Source organism: Homo sapiens, chromosome 15, assembly GCF_000001405.40.
Source record: "Homo sapiens chromosome 15, GRCh38.p14 Primary Assembly".
NCBI lineage: Eukaryota > Metazoa > Chordata > Mammalia > Primates > Hominidae > Homo > Homo sapiens.
The window spans coordinates 34,487,179-34,506,735 of NC_000015.10; the positions used below are offsets into that span (position 1 = coordinate 34,487,179).

Genomic DNA, 19,557 nt, shown 5'->3' on the forward strand with positions numbered 1-19,557 from the left:
ATATATGCAAAGGATTATAAATCATGCTGCTATAAAGACACATGCACACATATGTTTATTGTGGCACTATTCACAATAGTAAAGACTTGAAACCACGCAAATATCCATCAATGATAGACTGGATTAAGAAAATGTGGCACATATACATCATGGAATACTATGCAGCCATAAAAAATGATGAGTTCATGTCCTTTGTAGGGACATGGATGAAGCTGGAAACCATCATTCTTCGCAAACTTTCTCAAGGACAAAAACCAAACACCACATGTTCTCACTCATAGGTGGGAATGGAACAATGAGAACACTTGGACACAGGAAGGGGAACATCACACACCGGCACCTGTTGTGGGGTGGGGGGAGGGGGGAGGGATAGCATTAGGAGATATACCTAATGTAAATGATGAGTTAATGGGTGCAGCACACCAACATGGCACATGTATACATATGTAACAAACCTGCATGTTGTGCACAGGTACCCTGGAACTTAAAGTATAATAAAAAATATATATATATAAAAAAAGATATAGATAAATGCAGGTATAGAACATATTGCTGGATTGTAAGGTATCATTTCTCCTGAAATTGATATATACACAATACAAATCAAAATCCCATCAGGCTTTTATGGTCGTTTTATAATAAATTGTGAAATTAGGTAAAAAAAAAAAAGAAGAAAATGTGGCACATATACACCATGGAATACTATGCAGCCATAAAAAAGGATGAGTTCATGTCCTTTATAGGGACATGGATGAAGCTGGAAACCATCATTCTCAGCAAACTATCGCAAGGACAAAAAACCAAACACTGCATGTTCTCACTCATAGGTGGGAATTGAACAATGAGAACACATGGACACAGGAAGGGGAACATCACACACCGGGGCCTGTTGTGGGGTCGGGGGAGGGGGGAGGGATAGCATTAGGAGACATACCTAATGCAAATGACAAGTTAACGGGTGCAGCACACCAACATGGCACATGTATACATATGTAACAAACCTGCACGTTGTGCACATGTACCCTAGAACTTAAAGTATAAAAAAAAAGTATACCAATTCACAGAAATCCTCCACACTTCCAATTACAATAAAACTATCCATCTATTACTCTAAAATTTGTGAATATTAATCATTCTATCTTTCCAGCTTTTCTTCTGCATTTGTGACCCCTTTGTACTATTTTTTTCTGTTAGGATACAGTCAAGAAAACTGAAATCATGGTAGTAGGTACTTTAAAGACGGAATTGGTTACCAGATGTTAGAAGGCTCTAGAAGTTCTTGAGCAGGAGTAATTATAGACATCAGTTTACCTTAAATGGGCAGAATTCAGATAGATAACAACAACAACAAAAAGAGACTGTGGAGGTTATTCATAGTGGACTAATTTGTTTGGAAAAAATAAGTAGCTATAAATCAGTATATTCTAGTATCTTTGAGACAACAAATATTGGAAATTGTTTTTCTTTTCTTTTCTTTTTTTCCCAGCAAGTGCTGTGTTTATTTTCCAAACAATTTTATTGAAATGTCCCAGGAGTAGATGGGCAGCACAAATGTATGAACAGGAAAAAAAAATCACATGTACAATAATTTTTTTAAAGTGAAGGTTAATCTTGGGAGATATCAGTTCCCCTCTCCCTCCCCCTGCAGACTTCCAGCGTTTCCGTTAAGGTTAAGCCTCTACGAACCTAGCATTAAAAAAAAAAAAAAAAAAAAAAGGAATACAAGATCTTTTGCAAATAACAAAAACAAAAACCAAAAAATGGCATAAAGGAAAGAGAAATACCTTCCTGCTCAGATGGGACTCTTCCTAGGCACCTAATTAGAAGGCGTGCTGAGCGGTGGAGAAACACAACTTCAGAGTGTAAGGGTATGGACCATTGGGTTTTTCATCAGGTAATGGTTCAGGAAGCCCGGAGTCTCCAGGGCATCGCTCTTGGATTCCCATTCCAGCAGTCCAGAGGAGCTGCGCTCGCTTTCGCCTGAGAATACTTTCACAGAAGATGGCCGCTTCACTCCCAGCTCATCATAGATCTCAAAGAAGTTCTCCTCGGTCGCCTCCAGCGGGGCGTTGAAGAAGTGCAGCACGTTGCTGGGGTGCTGGATGCGGTTCTTGGCTGCCTGCTCTGGGGTGGAGAACCGATTGTTCCGGGATTCACTGAAGTCTTTGTAACTGCAAGACCCATCTTCCAACCCGTATGACTGACCGGGCATGATGGCTGGCTGCTTGGAGACACAGACATTCAGCTTCTGCCCAAACATGAAGTTGTTGTTGAGGTGGGTAATGACCCGGTCCACAGCGTAGCCATCAGCCATCTCCACCATGGCGCCCCCGGCTTGCTTTTCAGGAATTTCACCTTCTCCACATTGCCATACAAGCAGAAGACATTGAAGACTAGGTCACAGTTCATCTTAGATTGATGCAAGCCTTAGACCACGAGCACAGGGCTGTCGGCGTGAGGGCCATACTCGGGTGGTGGGGGAGGGGGTGGGGGGTGCCCATACTGGGGGGCCGTAGCGACTTGGGCCCCGACAGTGACCCCCGACTGGTGGACCCATCCTTCTCCCTTCGTAGTGAGGTCGGGGGGGCCCGTGGCCCTCATCATGGTAATGGCTGTGGTACCCACCGTGGGGCCCTCCATATTCTGCGGGGTGATCTCCCAGGAGAGGGGGCTGCCTCTGGCGTTTGTTGGGGTTGCTGCCAGGGTCACCTTGTCCACTGAGATTGGGGTTTGTGTAGTCCCAAGTATCCTGATCATTCTTGAACACATTCAAGCGTGTAGGCTTTGCGTATTCCATCTTCAGAGTGCAACAGCCAGAATAGATACCAGCCCCATTGAGAGAGGCCTTGGCCCGCTGGGCACTTTGAACAGAGTCAAATTCCACCATCGCCTGAACTCCATTCTTCCTGAAAATGATAATTCTCTGGACAGGGCCACAAGGATTACAGATAGTGTAAAGAACATCCGTGGTGATCGAATAAATGGGGTTCAGGATGGTAAAGAGAAGCACACTGTTCACGCTCCGGGAGTCATCCGAGTCCCCGGGGAGGGAGATCTTCTGGCTGGTAGAGTAGTTGACAAAAGCTGGGTGACCGGCAATGTATATTTGGTTGTCGGCTGCGTAGCTCACGGCGTTGCAAGCCCCCAACACATCTTCAAACTCCACCAGTGCTTGTCTCTTTTTAGGCATTACCACCGCATAGCTGATGGGTCCAAACTCCTGCAAGGCCTCCACAAGGTCAGCTTCCACCACATCGTCAATCAGGCCCCTGCTGTGGACAACTGGGGAGGCAGGGGTTTTGTGCAGGTCATGGTAGTTCTCCCCGCCGCCGCCCCCGCCGCCCCGCCTCCTCCACCGCCACCGCCGCCGCCGCCGCCTCCGTGCTGGTCGCCGGCGTTGCCAGTCTTGAGCCGCTTAGGGGCACCGCCGCCCTCACTGCCGCCGCCTTAGTAGCCGCCACCGCCGCCTCTGCCGCCCCCCGCCGCCATCTTCATCGCTCCCGACCGCCTCTGCTGCTCCTCCCGCTGCTGCCTCTGCTCCAGCCGCCGACGCCGCTTCTCCCAGGAAATTACTTTTCCAAGTTAGTTTGGTAAAGTTTAAAAGGTTGGTGCTTTATCCTGTAGACAATTGAGAGTAGTTTCTGTATTTAAGAAGGATAAATAAAATGTTCTGTGTGCAGGGCGGATTAGAAATGGAAGACATTGGAAGCAGAGAGAAGTTAAGGAAGAATGTTGACATTATCTTAAAGTGTTAAGAACCTGAACGAAACTCCTTGCAAAATCATTGCCAGGGAATACAGTGTAGGGCCATTGACTGACTCTAGTAGTGGATGAGGACAACTCACAGAGAGAAATCTGACAATCCATGTTTAGCAGAGGGAAGGAAGCCAGAAATAGTTACTAATAAGTGCAAGACTTCAGTTTTGTTGGTTTTTTGTTTTTTACTCCCAGCAAGCTAAATTTGACAATAATGTAGCTCAATTTCTCCCCATCTCATTTTGTTAATCTCTATAATCTTGCCCCAGAAAAGCCATTTGTACCCCAGCTCAGAAAATTCTGTATTCATTTGTCTTCATAAGATTGTAAAAATTTCAAAACTGTCTGTTCATGATAATTAGAGAAATACAAATCAAGACTACAATGAGATACCATCTTACACCAACCAGAATGGCTATTACTAAAAAGTCAAAAAATAACAGATGCTGGTGAAGTTGTGAAGAAAAAGGAATGCTTATACACTGTTAGTGGGAGTGTAAGTTAGTTCATCCATTGTGGAAGACAGTGTGGCAATTCCTCAAAAGCCTAAAGACAGAAATAGCATTGGACCCTGCAATCCCATTACTGGGTATATACTTAAAGGAATATAAATCATTCTGTTATAAAGACACATGCATGCATATGTACACTGCAGCACAATTCACAATAGCAAAGACATGGAACCAACCAAAATGGCAATCAGTGACACACTGGATCAAGAAAATGTGGTACATATATGCCATGGAATACTATGCAGCCATAAAAAAGAACAGAGACCATGTCTTTTGCAGGGACATGGATGGAGCTGGAGGCTATTATCCTTAGCAAACTAATATAGGAAGAGAAAAACACCACATGTTCTCACTTGTAAGTGGGAGCTAAATGATGAGAACTCACATGGACACACAGAGGGGAACGACACACACTGGGGACTTTCAGAGAGAGGAGGCAGAGAGATGGGAGATCATCAGGGAAAATAACTAATGGGTGCTAGGCTCAATACGTGGATGATGAAATAATCTGTACCACAAACCCCCATGACAAAAGTTTACCTATGTAACAAACCTGCACTTGTACCCCCGAACCTAAAATAAAAGTTTAAAAAGGAAGTGAAAAAAACTTTAAAGTAGCTCAATAAGTTTTATATTAATGTCAACTTTAAATAATTTTTATGCATAATACGTTATTAAAATTCATTTACCTTTTTAAAAAAAGAATGTGAAATTTTAGCAGAGTTTTCAACAACAATGTTGTAGTTAACAAGAGAAAAGCATCCCTGATGCTTTACAAACTGGTGTTTCAATGAATTAGTCTTTTTTTTCTGAGAGGGAATCTCGCTCTGTCGCCCAGGCTGGAGTGCAGTGGCATGATCTCGGCTCACTGCAACCTCCACCTCCCAGGTTCAAGTGATTCTCCTGCCTCAGCCTTCCAGTACCAGAAGGCGTGCACCATGACGCCTGGCTACATTTTGTATTTTTAGTAGAGACGGGGTTTCACCAGGTTGGCCAGGCTGGTCTCTAACTCCTGAGCTCCCAAACTGCTGGTAGTACAGGCATGAGCCACCGGACCTGGCCAAAATGAATTACTCTTAATTGTGTTCTATTCATTTGTTTTTCCTGCATTTTCATTTCATTTCACTTTGATGAACCAACCGAAATACCCGATGGAATACAGTGACAGCTTGAAAAGCTTCATGTTAACAAAGTTATCATTCCACAGTAGATAAAATAATATGTGAAAGTAGTGAGAACTTAGGAATTCCTCTAAAATCAGAATTTAAAGACATACCACTTACCCTTTGTTAAAATAGCTTACAGCACAGAAGTCTTAGAAAATGGGCATTAGAGTGTCAGAAAGCTAGTCATGTTAGAAAAAACCTTTCAAATCAAGGCTAGCCACCTCATTAAATAATAAAATGAAGAAACTAGTTATAAAACCGGTGTTCCATTTTCAATTTTAAAAAAATGCTGATGGTAAAATAACCATTAATTTAAAATATTTTTCTGCTCACTTCTAGAAGGTGGAGCATAAACCACTTAAGTGACCTATTTTAGCCCCACTAAAGCAAATGGCAAATATTGGGATTGGATTACCAAATGTATGCCTTCCATTTCATTGGCCATATATCTTATTGTTTCATGCATGGATAATGGCTTTTCTCCTTCTTCAGTAACCCAAAGGAAAAGCTGACATTCTAACCTGGAGCTGCACATTCAAGCTTTGACACATGCCTCTCACTGGTTTCGTCTAATGCTTATAATAAACCTGTAGAGTCAGCAACTTTAGAAAGATGGGTTGAAGAAGTGTCTTTATCATAGTTTGAATTTTTCTCTGGGGCACTTGGCAGAGTCACCTCTGGTGTTTCAAATGTGCTTGAAAGTTATCTGGCTGCCCTCTGAGAAGTCTGCATAAAAACTGCTTTACTTAAAAGCAGGCAAAATTAAGGTTTCTGTAACAAAACCATAGGCATCGCATTGAGATAGGACAAAGACCAAATATCCTGCTTCCATGTGGCAGAGAAATAATGAATAACTTGGTTCAAGAGCTCATGGAGTGGCATATCATCACACCATTATTAATAGAGAACATTGCTAATTTCTAAAAGGGCTTCATGTCATGATTATTTTATCCTCTTCTTTCTGTTAAATTTTTAACATGTATGTCCACTGCAAAGTACGCAAAGGAAATAAATTAGCACTAAAAAAAGGGCTTCTTCACAACCGCAAATTATATATATATTTCTTTCAGAACATCACTTTAGAGAGAAAATAGCAAAAATTCAGCATCATCACTTTTTGACAGTTCACTAGCCAATCAAAATATAGAAAAAGAAGGAGAAATTAAGTACATTTGTATTCACTGTACATTTTTAGCTATTTGTGTAGAAGAAAAACAATTAGCTTATTTAAAAACCCTAAGGTGAGTATGCAGTTTTTAATTATTATCTTTGCTGTTGTGATTTATATTTGTATTTTATTTATGTAAAAACCAGTAAATAAACCTATGTCAAATACTTCTTTATTTTTGATACTAGTTCAAAATATTGGTGACTTTTTTAGATATGAATATCTCATATGTATCTTTTAGAAATTATCAGAGAGTTATAAAATAATATTGGGGAGGTAAGGAAGGCACTAGACATAAGAAACTTGTATAGACAAATACTTTGTCACCAAAGTTGTATATTTAAAAGTCCCTATTCTTTGTCTCTTATCGATTCAAAATTAATTCATTAGAAAAGAATTTTCCTCAACATTTAATCCCTAGTTGTTCATCTTTTTCACTAGTTTGTATTCCATTACTCATTGCTTCATAGCTAAACTCTGTTTAAATCTGTTAACTGAAATGATTTTAAAACGTTTTGGTGGAGCGCTGCGGGAGGTGCGTGCGCGCCCCGGCCGCCGAACAAAGGAGCAGGGGCGCCGCCGCGGGGACCCGCCACCCACCTCCCGGGGCCGCGCCGCGGCCTCCCGTCCACCGCCACCATGACCGCCAACGGCACAGCCGAGGCGGTGCAGATCCGGTTCGGCCTCATCAACTGCGGCAACAAGTACCTGAGGGCGGAGGCGTTCGGGTTCAAGGTTAACGCGTCGGCCAGCAGCCTGAAGAAGCAGCAGATCTGGACGCTGGAGCAGCCCCCTGACTAGGCGGGCAGCGCGGCCGTGTGCCTGCGCAGCCACCTGGGCCGCTACCTGGCGGCGGACAAGGACGGCAATGTGACCTGCGAGCGCGAGGTGCCCGGTCCCGACTGCCGCTTCCTCACCGTGGCGCACGACGACGGCCGCTGGTCGCTGCAGTCCGAGGCGCACCGGCGCTCCTTCGGCGGCACGGAGGACCGCCTGTCGTGCTTCGCGCAGACGGTGTCCCCCGCCGAGAAGTGGAGCGTGCACATCGCCATGCACCCTCAGGTCAACATCTACCGCGTCACCCCTAAGCGCTAGGCGCACCTGAGCGCGCCGCCGGCCGACGAGATCGCAGTGGACCGCGACGTGCCCTGGGGCGTCGACTCGCTCGTCACCCTCGCCTTCCAGGAGCAGCGCTACAGCGTGCAGACCGCGGACCACCGCTTCCTGCGCCATGACAGGCGCCTGGTGGCGCGCCCCGAGCCGGCCACTGGCTACACGCTGCAGTTCCGCTCCGGCAATGTGGCCTTCCGCGACTGCGAGGGCCGTTACCTGGCGCCGTCGGGGCCCAGCGGCACGCTCAAGGCGGGCAAGGCCACCAAGGTGGGCAAGGACGAGCTCTTTGCCCTGGAGCAGAGCTGCGCCCAGGTCGTGCTGCAGGCGGCCAACGGGAGGAATGTGTCCACGCGCCAGGGTATGGACCTGTCTGCCAATCCGGACGAGGAGACCGACCAGGAGACCTTCCAGCTGGAGATCGACCGCGACAACAACAAGTGTGCCTTCTGTACCCACAGGGGCAAGTACTGGACGCTGACGGCCACTGGGGGCGTGCAGTCCACCGCCTCCACCAAGAATGCCAGCTGCTACTTCGACATTGAGCGGCGTGACCGGCGCATCACACTGCGGGCGTCCAATGGCAAGTTTGTGACATCTAAGAAGAATGGGCAGCTGGCCGCCTCGGTGGAGACAGCAGGGGACTCAGAGCTCTTCCTCATGAAGTTCATCAACCGCGCCATCACCGTGTTGCGCGGGGAGCACGGCTTTATCGGCTGCCGCAAGGTCGGGGCACCCTGGACGCCAACCGCTGCAGCTATGACGTCTTCCAGCTGGAGTTCAACAATGGTACCTACAACATCAAAGACTCCACAGGCAAATACTGGACGGTGGGCAGTGACTCCGCGGTCACCAGCAGCGGCGACACTCCTGTGGACTTCTTCTTCGAGTTCTGCGACTACAACAAGGAGGCCATCAAGATGGACGGGCGCTACCTGAAGGGCGACCACGCAGGGGTCCTAAGGGCCTCCGCGGAGACCGTGCACCCCGCCTCGCTCTGGGAGTACTAGGGCCCGCCCGCCCTTCCCGGTTCCTGCCCACGTGGCGGCTCCTTCCAACCCTCCCTGCTAACCCCTTCTCCTCCAGGTGGGCTCCCCCGGGCGGGAGGCAAGCCCCCTTGCCTTTCAAACTGGAAACCCCAGAGAAAACGGTGCCCCCACCTGTCGCCCCTATGGACTTCCCAGTCTCCCCTCCGCCCTGGTTCCCTACTCCCCTCGGGTCAGCGGCTGCGGCCTGGCCCTGGGAGGGATTTCAGATGCCCCTGCCCTCTTGTCTGCCACGGGGCGAGTCTGGCACCTCTTTCTTCTGACCTCAGACGGCTCTGAGCCTTATTTCTCTGGAAGCGGCTAAGGGACGGTTGGGGGCTGGGAGCCCTGGGCGTGTAGTGTAACTGGAATCTCTTGCCCCTCCCAGCCACCTCCTCCCAGCCCCCCAGGAGCTGGGCACGTGTCCCAAGCCTGTCAGTGGCCCTCCCTGGTGCACTGTCCCGAAACCCCTGCTTGGGAAGGGAAGCCGTCAGGTGGGCGAGGACTGAGCCTCGGTGTTTTTTTGGGTGGTGGCTGGAAACAGCCCCTCTCCCACGTGGCAGAGGCTCAGCCTGGCTCCCTTCCCTGGAGCGGCAGGGTGTGACGGCCACAGGGTCTGCCCGCTGCATGTTCTGCCAGGGTGGTGGTGGCGGGGGGGTAGGGGTGTGGGGGCCGTCTTCCTCCTCTTTCCTTTCACCCTAGCCTGACCGGAAGCAGAAAATGACCAAATCGGTATTTTTTTTTAATGAAATATTATTGCTGGAGGCGTCCCAGGCAAGCCTGGCTGTAGTAGTGAGTGATGTGGGTGGGGCGTCTCAGCACCCTCCCCAGGGGGTGCATCTCAGCCCCCTCTTTCCGTCCTTCCGGTCCAGCCCCAGCCCTGGGCCTGGGCTGCGGATGCCTGGGCCAGAGCCCCCGCTGTGATTGGTGCTTCCTGGGCCTCCTGGGTGGATGAAGCCAGGCGTCGCCCCCTCGGGGAGCCCTGGGGTGAGCCGCCAGGGCCCCCCTGCTGCCAGTCTCCCCCGTCCCGTCCCCGACATGCATCTCACTCTGGGTGTCCTGGTCTTTTATTTTTTGTAAGTGTCATTTGTATAACTCCAAACGCCCATGATAGTAGCTTCAAACTGGAAATAGTGAAATAAAATAACTCAGTCTGCAGCTCCCCCCCCCAAAAAAACTTTTTGTCCATTTTTTACCTATTCCATTTGACATTGGTCTCATATGATATCATGATATAAAGGAAAATGACCCCGCAATGATATGATTCATAATTCCACTATAAATTTCCTTGATGCTTTGAGAGTGTGATTGATTTATTTTGCCCCCTTCCTTTTTTTTTTTTTTTTAACTATAAAGCAGGTACCTGTACAATAATGCCATTTTTTTAAACTCCAAATAAATAGAAACAGCTATAGGACTAAAGTTTCTAATATGAATCTTATAGTTTACTTAGCACATGCTTTAATAAAGTTACCTCTTCAGGAAACTAGAATATTGTGTCTGGTGTAAGACTAGATGTTTTGTCAAAAGCATATGTAATATTCATATAGCGGAGCTTTGGCTTTATGCCATGAACAAGCAGGAGGTGTTTTTGGAACTGACCTGTTGATTTTCACACGTTATTTATTAGAAATGACTGCTGCCATTCCCACATAGTCCTAAGTGTAAACATTTACCATATGTATGTGGCTTCAAGATTATTTTGTTGTTCACAAAATCACCTATGTCCTCCCATCAAAACACTATCCTCATCTTAAAAGTAAATGGCACTATTTTATTCAATGATTTACATTTTGGAATCCTAACCAGATATTTTTTTCCTTAAATTTCAAGCACTGCATTACTTCCAAAGACATGCTATGGGTATGTGGAAATTATATCAAACATGAGTAAATTTTGTTGACCAAGACTGCAGAAATAACAATACCATCACATAAATATATGAATACAGATGTTGATGGTTGGTGAAAATTACCCCCAAATAGCCAATGCCACGAGTATATTTTGAATAGCTAGTTTGATTTTTATTAACATTATACTAAGGTTATTTCTAAGCCTGCAGACAAAATTTATAGAATATACTACTCAGATACTTGAGAATGTACTACTTAAATATTTGGATATTTTTATTCCAAATATATCTCCACTGTGATTTTTTAGGAGATACAATTGCCATCACAGTAAGATATTGCTGATTCCAATGAAATTTTTAATTAACTAGAAAAATCAAAGAATGCAATTCTTTTTCAAGATTTCTTCAAATAAAGAAACAAGCAAAATTAGGCTGTGGTGCTGTGAATAACACCAAGAAGTATGGAGTCAGGCAAGCCTCAGGTTCAGTCACAGTTCTACTGTTAAGTAGATAATTCTAAGGGTGCGTCTCTGTGTCTTAGGTTTGTGGAGACCTACAGCAGCGTTCCACAGACCAACACTGAGCCTACCCCACGACTATTCAACCTGACCATTATTGGGTAGCTTTCATCTAACCAGTTAGAAAGAAAACATCTATGAAAACTATTTACTAAAGAATTATATATTTTAATTAAGGGTACTGAGCACGGTCAAGTTAGAGAACAATAGAGTAGAAAACTTCTATTCAAATATAATTGAGACCAGTTTTTTGATAGTTAATCTAAAAAGTGAGTTAAGGAGGAGGATCATGGGGTTAAAAAAAACCAGAAATGTAAATTATTTGGCCAATATTTTGATATAAGTCCAGGACCCTTTGATTATTACTCTACTAACTGGAGTTTCTATACATTGTCTTCTTTGTATAAATTAGGATCATAAGAAGTCAATTATAATTCTAAATTTTTACTTGTTTAAAGTAGAACAAAAAAAGTAATTGAAGTGCAAAAACCTTTTAGCTTATTAAATTTTTGCTATTCTGATTATTCTAATTTTATAATTTTTTCTTAAAAATTTACATTGCTTAGCCCTCCTAGTAATCAGCTTAGCTTTTTCTAATCTTTTCAAGACCCAGATATTTTTACATAAATAGCACCACTCTATTATAATCACATCCCTGATTTTATTTATGTCACAAAAGACCAACTTGAATACAACCTAAATAAACTGTCTGGTAGATAAGTTAACAACATAACGTCAATTTGAGGCAACAGACTTACATAGGCATAATAGAAAACACACTGTTATTTTACAGGGAGAATGTACAGTGTCCGTTCATTCAACAAGTTAGTTAAACACAACTCAACTAAAACAATGTCATTGAAAAGTAGCAAATTCTGTTTTTGCTCCATGGACTTACAGCCAATGAGTCCTGAGAAAGAAGAGAGAATTTAAAGAGCTTCATTGGCAGGTGAATCTGTACTTGGCCTTTTAGCTTAGAGACTGAAGCTCCATATTCAAAGCAGAAGAATAGTGAGACATCCCATATGAAGAAAGAAATCAGAACAGACATGCAGGGGCAAAAGTAGCCATGGTCTGCGTCCTGGCTCAGGAGGACAGTATGTGTTGAAGAGCAAAGCCTAGAATGGGCTGATGCCTGTAACCTCACCCCATCTCATTGCTTTATCTACTCACACTGCTTGCCCAGAAAATCTGGTGCCCCACAGTGAGAACAGGAACTGGGCATCCCAGCTAATCTTCAGCTGGGTGGGTCTCATAGGGTTGTCAGATTTGAAAAAAATAACAATAGGCTTTGAAGAAAAAGACTTGGAGATGAAGCAGAATGCTCTTGCCAAAGCTTCCCTCAATTGACATAAGAGGAACAAATTTATTTCCCAAATTAGTTATAGTATAATTTACCAGGTATCCAAATAAATTTGTTTAGACACTAAGAGTTTTCCCCTCGAATAATGCCTGACCATAATTTTACATATAATTCCTTTATTCAACAAATGCTCAAAGTATGTTTGTTTTATACCAAACACTTTTAAGGAATTAGGAATACCATTGTGAATAAAATAGACAATCTCTACTAAATGCTTAGTTATGATGGAAGGCAAACAAATACATAAAATAAGTAAGAAATACAGTTTTATGCCTCATGATGTCAGATGATAGTAAGTGCTGTGTCCCCAAAACACTTACTCATTTTCTCAAACTATTATAAAACAGGGACGGTGCATAAAGAGTGCTGGACATGGGACTGAAGATTCTGTTTTAAATATGGTTGCCAGGGAAGTCCTCACTGTGTAAGAACATTCCATCGAGGACTTGAAGGAGATGAGGGAAGTCATCAAGAGGATGGGAAAAAGAACACTCCCAGTAATAGGACCAGCAAATGCAAAGACCAGAGGAGAAAGACATCTGCTTTGTTTAAGGGACAGCAAATAGGTCTCCCTGCTACAGCAGAGTAAATAGAGTGGAAATGGTAGAAGAGTTTTTAGTTGTAAGGCAAGAAGGGGACCAACCATGGAGAGTCTTAGATGTCATTGTGGAGATTTCTATTTTACTGGAGGTGAAATGGAAGCCACTGAAGACACTTGAAATGGAGGCTGATATGGTTCACAGCTTTAATAGTCTGCTGTCTGCTGAGATAAGAATTGACTATAGGACAAAGGGTAGATTTAGGTAGTGAGATGTTATTGCAGTCACCTAGGAAAGAGATAGGATGATTTGAACTAGAGTGGTACTGGTAAGAGGTGGTCGTATTTTGAAAATATCTTTGAAGTAGAGTTGACAGGATTTGGTGATGAATTTGACATGGAATGTGAGTCAAATTTCATAGCCTGAGCCAAACATCCCTATTTAATTAGGTTGAATATAATGGAAAAGGTGGGGGGAAATGGATTAAGAAAAGAAAGAAGTTTGTTGTGGGAAACAGTAAGGTGAAGAAACCAGCAGAGATGTTAGATATCTAAATCTGAGTTCAGGAGTTTTGAATGCATAGAAAATTTGATCATTAGCATGGGGCTGGTATTTGAAGCCATGAGACTGGACAAGGTCATTTTAGTTTAGTGTATTTCCACAGATTATATTTCAAGCATCGTGCTAGGTACTTTAACGTTTGGCCATTTTAAAAGCCCCTTGGTAAATTTCACAGGAATCAGGATTTGACTGACCTGTTTTTCTCAGATGTCTGACCTCAGTCGGATGCATGATTTTATTATATTTAATTCCCTATAAAATTCCAAAATATCAAAATAAGACCTATATTTATTAGCAGGATTTTTCAGGTACAATATTCCTACTCAGATAGAACTATATCACTTAATTTCACAGAAATATCCTTCCCTGGGGTGATGATACTATTATATCACCAATCATGAAGTCATGCTGACTTGCAGGCAACAATGGAGCTCACATTTAGATCTAAGCTAATTTGCATGACTTACTTAAATTATGAAAAGACACACTTTTAGAGAGCAGGCAGATTTTGTTAATTCTGAATTATGTCAAAGTATCACTTAATAATTCTCAAGGGCCCAACTCTGGCGAAACCGGATGCTGCAGCGTATGTGTTTCCTATTCCCTTCCAACTTTTTTCATCATGATTCATCAGCGAATGCTATGAAGTCTAGAAATTTAATTAATGGATATCAGGGCCATTGGACCATGCATTTACACAAATTGCTCTGTGAAGAAGGAACATTCACTCTCTCTCTCTCTCTCTCTCTCCCCAATGTTTTGTCCCCCTCTTTCTCTTTCAAGAGCAGAACATTTTAGTGACCTCCAGTTAACTGTCTGAACTAAGCAGCCATCTCTTAGGTAATAATGCATTGCTAACAAACCTCAGCATAGACAGTAACGCTACCACTAAAGCTTCTGTTCATGTTGTTCTAGGGCTAATAAAATGGTACATTGTATTCTAGCTCTGAGGAAATTTGAGATTGTCTCATATTTTCTCAGTTAAACCAGATAATAATTAATTATGGGGAAGGGAGAGGAATTGCTGTGGCAGAGCCAGCGTGAGACATAATTTCTATTTATTCTCAATGTATTATCTGTTTTCTCCCTAGAGGCTTCCTTTTGTTACTCTTATATCAAAATCCCACTTAATTTTCCTGCCATCTCAACTCAAAAATCATACCTACAAAAGAGCTAAAGTGTTCATCTTTTTGCTTTTGCACAAACTCTGTGCCAGCTATGAGAGTGTAAGCTTTATAGTTATATATAGATGTTTTTATTTATAATCTTTCTCCTGCAAGAAAGGATTAAAGTGAAGCAAAAAGAACATGTAATAAGATGAATAATGAATAGAAAAATAATTTGCTCTTAAGACAAAGTAAAGGAAACTATAAAAGGGAGATGACTAGAACTATTTAGCAAGAAGAGACCTCGTTCTTTCCATCAAATAGTGTGGTGTAATTTGCACAATGCACCCAATGGTTAATGAATACATATTTGTTGAGGATAGCATTAATAAATAGATGACCAAAGAAAAACTAATACAAAAGATTTTTACCCTTCAGGAAGTAACTATTAGGTAGGTATTGTAAATTCTAACTTTAAAAGATAGAGGAAAAGATATATTGAGCTGACCCATAAATACAACAGGAAGACACAGAGTAACAATTACTGCAGGTGAATTTCAGCTCTCAGTCTATCTACCAACCAGTGTCACCAGGAACCTTCTTCAGACTCATGTATCCAACTGCTTATTTATCTTTTGCACCTGGATATCCCTCAGCTACCTCCATTTAATTCATCTTCTTCCTCCAAACTGGTCAGCATCCAAGCAGATCCAGAGAACTGTGAGGAGCTATTCTAGTCTCTGCCCTCTCCCCCGTTGCTGATCCAGTTAAGAGGGCCAAAGAATATAGTTGAGAGGACACCAGCTCTGTATCTAGTAGCATTTAGTTTTAATCTCATCCCTTAACTTGAAATTGGCATGGCCTTCAGTAAGTGATTTAACTCCTCTGGATATCAATTGATAAAATGTGAAAAAATTTCCAAAATTAATTGCAGTGAGTATTAAAATAGCATGTTTTGTACATCATGATCTCTCAATAAACAATTGCAGTATTATTCAAATTGGCACACAGGCCTATCACTGCTCCTTCCTTTTAGATTTTTTTTCCTTCTGTTTTTGCCTCTGAATGCCCCAAGCCAATCTCCCTTCCTCTATCACCTTTTTAGGAAATCCATCCCCACCCCACTCACCCCACCACTCCTCACACTCCTTTCTCTCCTACCCTGGCCTCCACCATAGCTCCTCCATTCCCACCTGTAATCCAGCCTCTGCACCACTATCAGCGCTGCGCTTCTGAAATGCAAATCTCATCATGTTGCACCTTATAACATCTTTGAATGACTCCTACTTGTCTCATGATGAATTCTAAGCTCCTTAGTTTTAGGTTGACCATGACCTTTTTTGATCTGACCCTGTCCATCTCTCCCTCCTAATTCTCATTTCTCTCCACCAAATACTCCACCCTTCGTACTGAACAATGTGGCTCTACTGTCATCTCTTCATACTTATATTTTTTCCTTGATCCTTAACTTTGTTCACAATGTTCCTGCCATCTGGAATAGCATTTTCCCTGTTGGCCTGGAAAATTTGACTATTCCTTTGCGATGGAATTCAGTCTTCACTTCCCCATGAGTGACCTTCTTAGGACAAATTGACAGTATCTTATATTGTAGTCCCACAGTCCATTAGGCAGTCTTCAAGTGTCCAATAGGAGAGTGCATGATATTAGTTGTTTATATGCCTATTTCTCCCACTGGCTTTGAGAAACTTCAGGGATTGTTGTAACCATTTGTATCCCCAGTGTCTAGCATAGCGTGCATCTATTTGTGTTTTGAATGAGTGAGTGAATTAACGAGTGATGAGAAAGCCATGACCTATGTTTGTCTCTACCAATCTTAAATGAGATTATAAACAGACTGATTCAACTGAAGATTGCAGGTCCTATTCCTTTTGCAGTTGTTATTGTACATGTTAGCAAAAAGCTTCAGCCTTTCCAAAAATTTCTTCAGTGGTAGCAATAAATTCATTGTCTTCTGGGAGCAACACTGTGCTCCCTCTCTCTCTGTCTCTCTCTCCCTGATTTGCCTATTGCTACTTTGAAGAGTATGTGTTTATGACTTTATAATTTGCTACAGCGCATGTAATAGGAGCCCTTCTATTTCTTCAGAAGTGGTTATAAGAAATATTCACACTTGCTTATGTTTTGTGAACATCTATATCTGGTGGAGCACATGTTATTATAATCTTATTTTAAGCGGAAATATAGATTAAAGGATTTTCTCTTACTGTTCTTAATGTAATGCTTCTAAATTAGATACACGAAAGTGCTCATCTAGGAGATAATGGAAGCATAAGCAAAACACAGAAAAAGCCTTACCAAGAATGAATTATAACCAACAAACAAATGTTAGTTTTATTGCAATAGAATTACTGAATTAGTACATGATGGAACAAAAAATCTATAACAAGTTTAGATGTCAGTAATGTATTCGACATGGATTGTATACACTGTACCCACAAAATTCTATCAAATTGTTTCTATTTCAAGAAATTTTCAGTTTATTCATGTTCAACACAAAAGTTAATTATACATGAAATATAAACTCAATGCAGAACATTGGCATTGTATTTCCTGGCTTTCTGGGAAGAATGTGGGAGCAGGGTTAATAATGAAATGGAAGAGAAAGCTCTTCACTCCTCTCCTTGTTCCCAGGATAGGACAAAATACACATGGCCAAGAATGAGGAAAGTAGGACAAAACCCAATATAGTCAAGAAAGTTATGAACCTGAGGTATGAGGTAAGATCTGGCCCTGGGAATGTTGACTGACACTGCAATATTTAGTATCTAGACTGGAATGATTAGATATGAAGTGGGTTAACCTGGAGTCCTTAGAGATGGCGCTATTCCCAGAAAGATAAATGAGATCCAGTCCTAGGACAAAAGGACAAACATCATTGGTCGGAAAAAGAAAAAATGATTTAGAAAAAAAGAGAAAGAGAAACAAAATGTAGAGGAGAAGAAGAAATCCCAAGGATGGAGACCAAAGGGTTTGCCAACAGTCTGTTCCTTGGGAATGCGAGTTACACCGCAGCCTGGAAGATGATGCTACTTCCAAGCCCATGATTCTGTCTCCATGACTTAGGACACTAGTCACAAAGAAATAGAACACATCTTTCTCCTTCTAGATCTCATTGTCCATTGAAGAACTGCTACTCATGGCCTGCAAGAGTGAAACTCATTGGTTCTAGGAATGAATGAAATTGGACCTGCTGGAGGCCTTTAATTATTATGTGGGCCTCAGAACTGATGAGGATTGATGTGGGTGTTATTTCAATAAAGAGTTATAAACAATTCATATATGAAAAATTTATTTTCTTAATTTATAGTTAAATACACTAATATTGTATTTCAATGTTGTTATTCAAATTCAAGACCATGTCAGTTCTTAGACACAATCTCTCACTGTGTATTAATTTCAAAAAGACATTGTAGTAACCACAGATATATTTTATATATAGATATAAATTAATAGACATTACTTTTTGAGCTGTTTTATGTTTAGAGGCAAAAATTAGTGAAAGTTAAAGTGCCTGTCTGTAGACTCTCTCACTCCACCCCCATTTCTCCTATTTTTAACATCTTGTGGTATTTTTAACATTAGTGTGTTACATTTGTTACAAGTGATGAGAAAACGTTGATAAATTATTTTTATCTAAAGTTCATAATTATATTAGGGTTCACTCTTTGTGGTGTCCATTTTATGGATTTTAACAGAGATGTACCCACCATGACAATGTTACACAGGATTATAGTTTCACTGCCCTAAAAATCCCCTGTGCTCTACCTAGTTATTCCTCCTTTCTTTCCTCCCCAGGAACCCCTGGAAATGACTGATCTTTTTACTGTCTCCACAGTTTTGCCTTTTTCAAAATGTCATATACTTGCAACCACATAGTGTGTAGGCTTTCATATTGGCTTCTTTCACTCAGTAATATGCATTTAAAGTTCTTCCATGACTTTTTGTGGCTTGATAGCTCTTTTTTTATATAGAACTGGTTAATATTCCATTGTATGGCTACACCGTACAGTGTTAGTCCATTTGCCTATTGAAAGGTCCTTTGGTTGTTTCTGTTTTGGTAATTATGAATAACACTGGTATAAACATTTGTGTGCACGTTTTGTGTGGGCATAAGTTTTCAACTCATTTGGCAAATACCAATGAGCACAATTATGGAATCATAGGCTAAGAGTGTGCTTAGTGTCATAAGAAACTGCTAAGCTGTCTTCCAAAGTGGATGTACCATTTTGCATCCCAACTAGCAATGAATAAGTTATTTCTGCTCATTGTTCTTACCAGCACTCAGTTGTGTTGCTATTTTGGATTCTGGCCATTATAAGAGCTATGTAGTAGCATCTCATTGTTTTGGTTTGCAATTTTCTAATGACATATGATATTGAGTATCTTTTCATGTGCTTATTTATCATTAGTAATATGTTGCCATCAGTAACGTTCCTTTCCCTTTCCATTGCCAGTGAGATCCAGCATTTTTTTTTTTTTTTTTGAGACATAGTCTTGCTCTGTCGCCCATGCTGGAGGGCAGTGGTGCAATCTCACTGCAACCTCCACCTCCCAGGTTCAAGGGATTCTCCCTGCCTCAGCCTCCTGAGTAGCTAGGATTACAGGCACCTGCCACCACACCTGGCTAATTTTTTTTTTTTTTTTTACTAGAGAGGGGGTTTCACCATGTTGGTAGGGCTGGTCTTGAACTCCTGACCTCAGATGATCTGCCCTCCTCAGCCTACCAAAGTGCTGGATTACAGGCATGAGCCACCGCACAAGGCCAGATCCAGTATTTCTTAATGGAAATGAAAAATTCACCAGTTACTGCATTTTTCCCCATATATTTGTAATAAGTTCCGACGTCTGATAAGGCAAGTC

At 42.2% G+C, this 19,557-nt stretch overlaps 2 pseudogenes, besides 1 other annotated feature; one reads left to right on the plus strand and one right to left on the minus strand.

Annotated features, from left to right (window-relative positions):
* HNRNPLP2 (heterogeneous nuclear ribonucleoprotein L pseudogene 2) lies at window positions 1,481-3,323 on the minus strand (annotated as a pseudogene).
* Window positions 3,308-3,809: an enhancer, noted in NCBI's record as "OCT4-NANOG hESC enhancer chr15:34782687-34783188 (GRCh37/hg19 assembly coordinates)". NCBI's record gives its function as "activates a minimal SCP1, AML or CMV promoter by ChIP-STARR-seq in naive H9 embryonic stem cells {active_cell/tissue: H9 hESC(naive)}" and the evidence as "EXISTENCE:reporter gene assay evidence [ECO:0000049][PMID:30033119]".
* On the plus strand, window positions 7,121-9,900 carry FSCN1P1 (fascin actin-bundling protein 1 pseudogene 1; annotated as a pseudogene).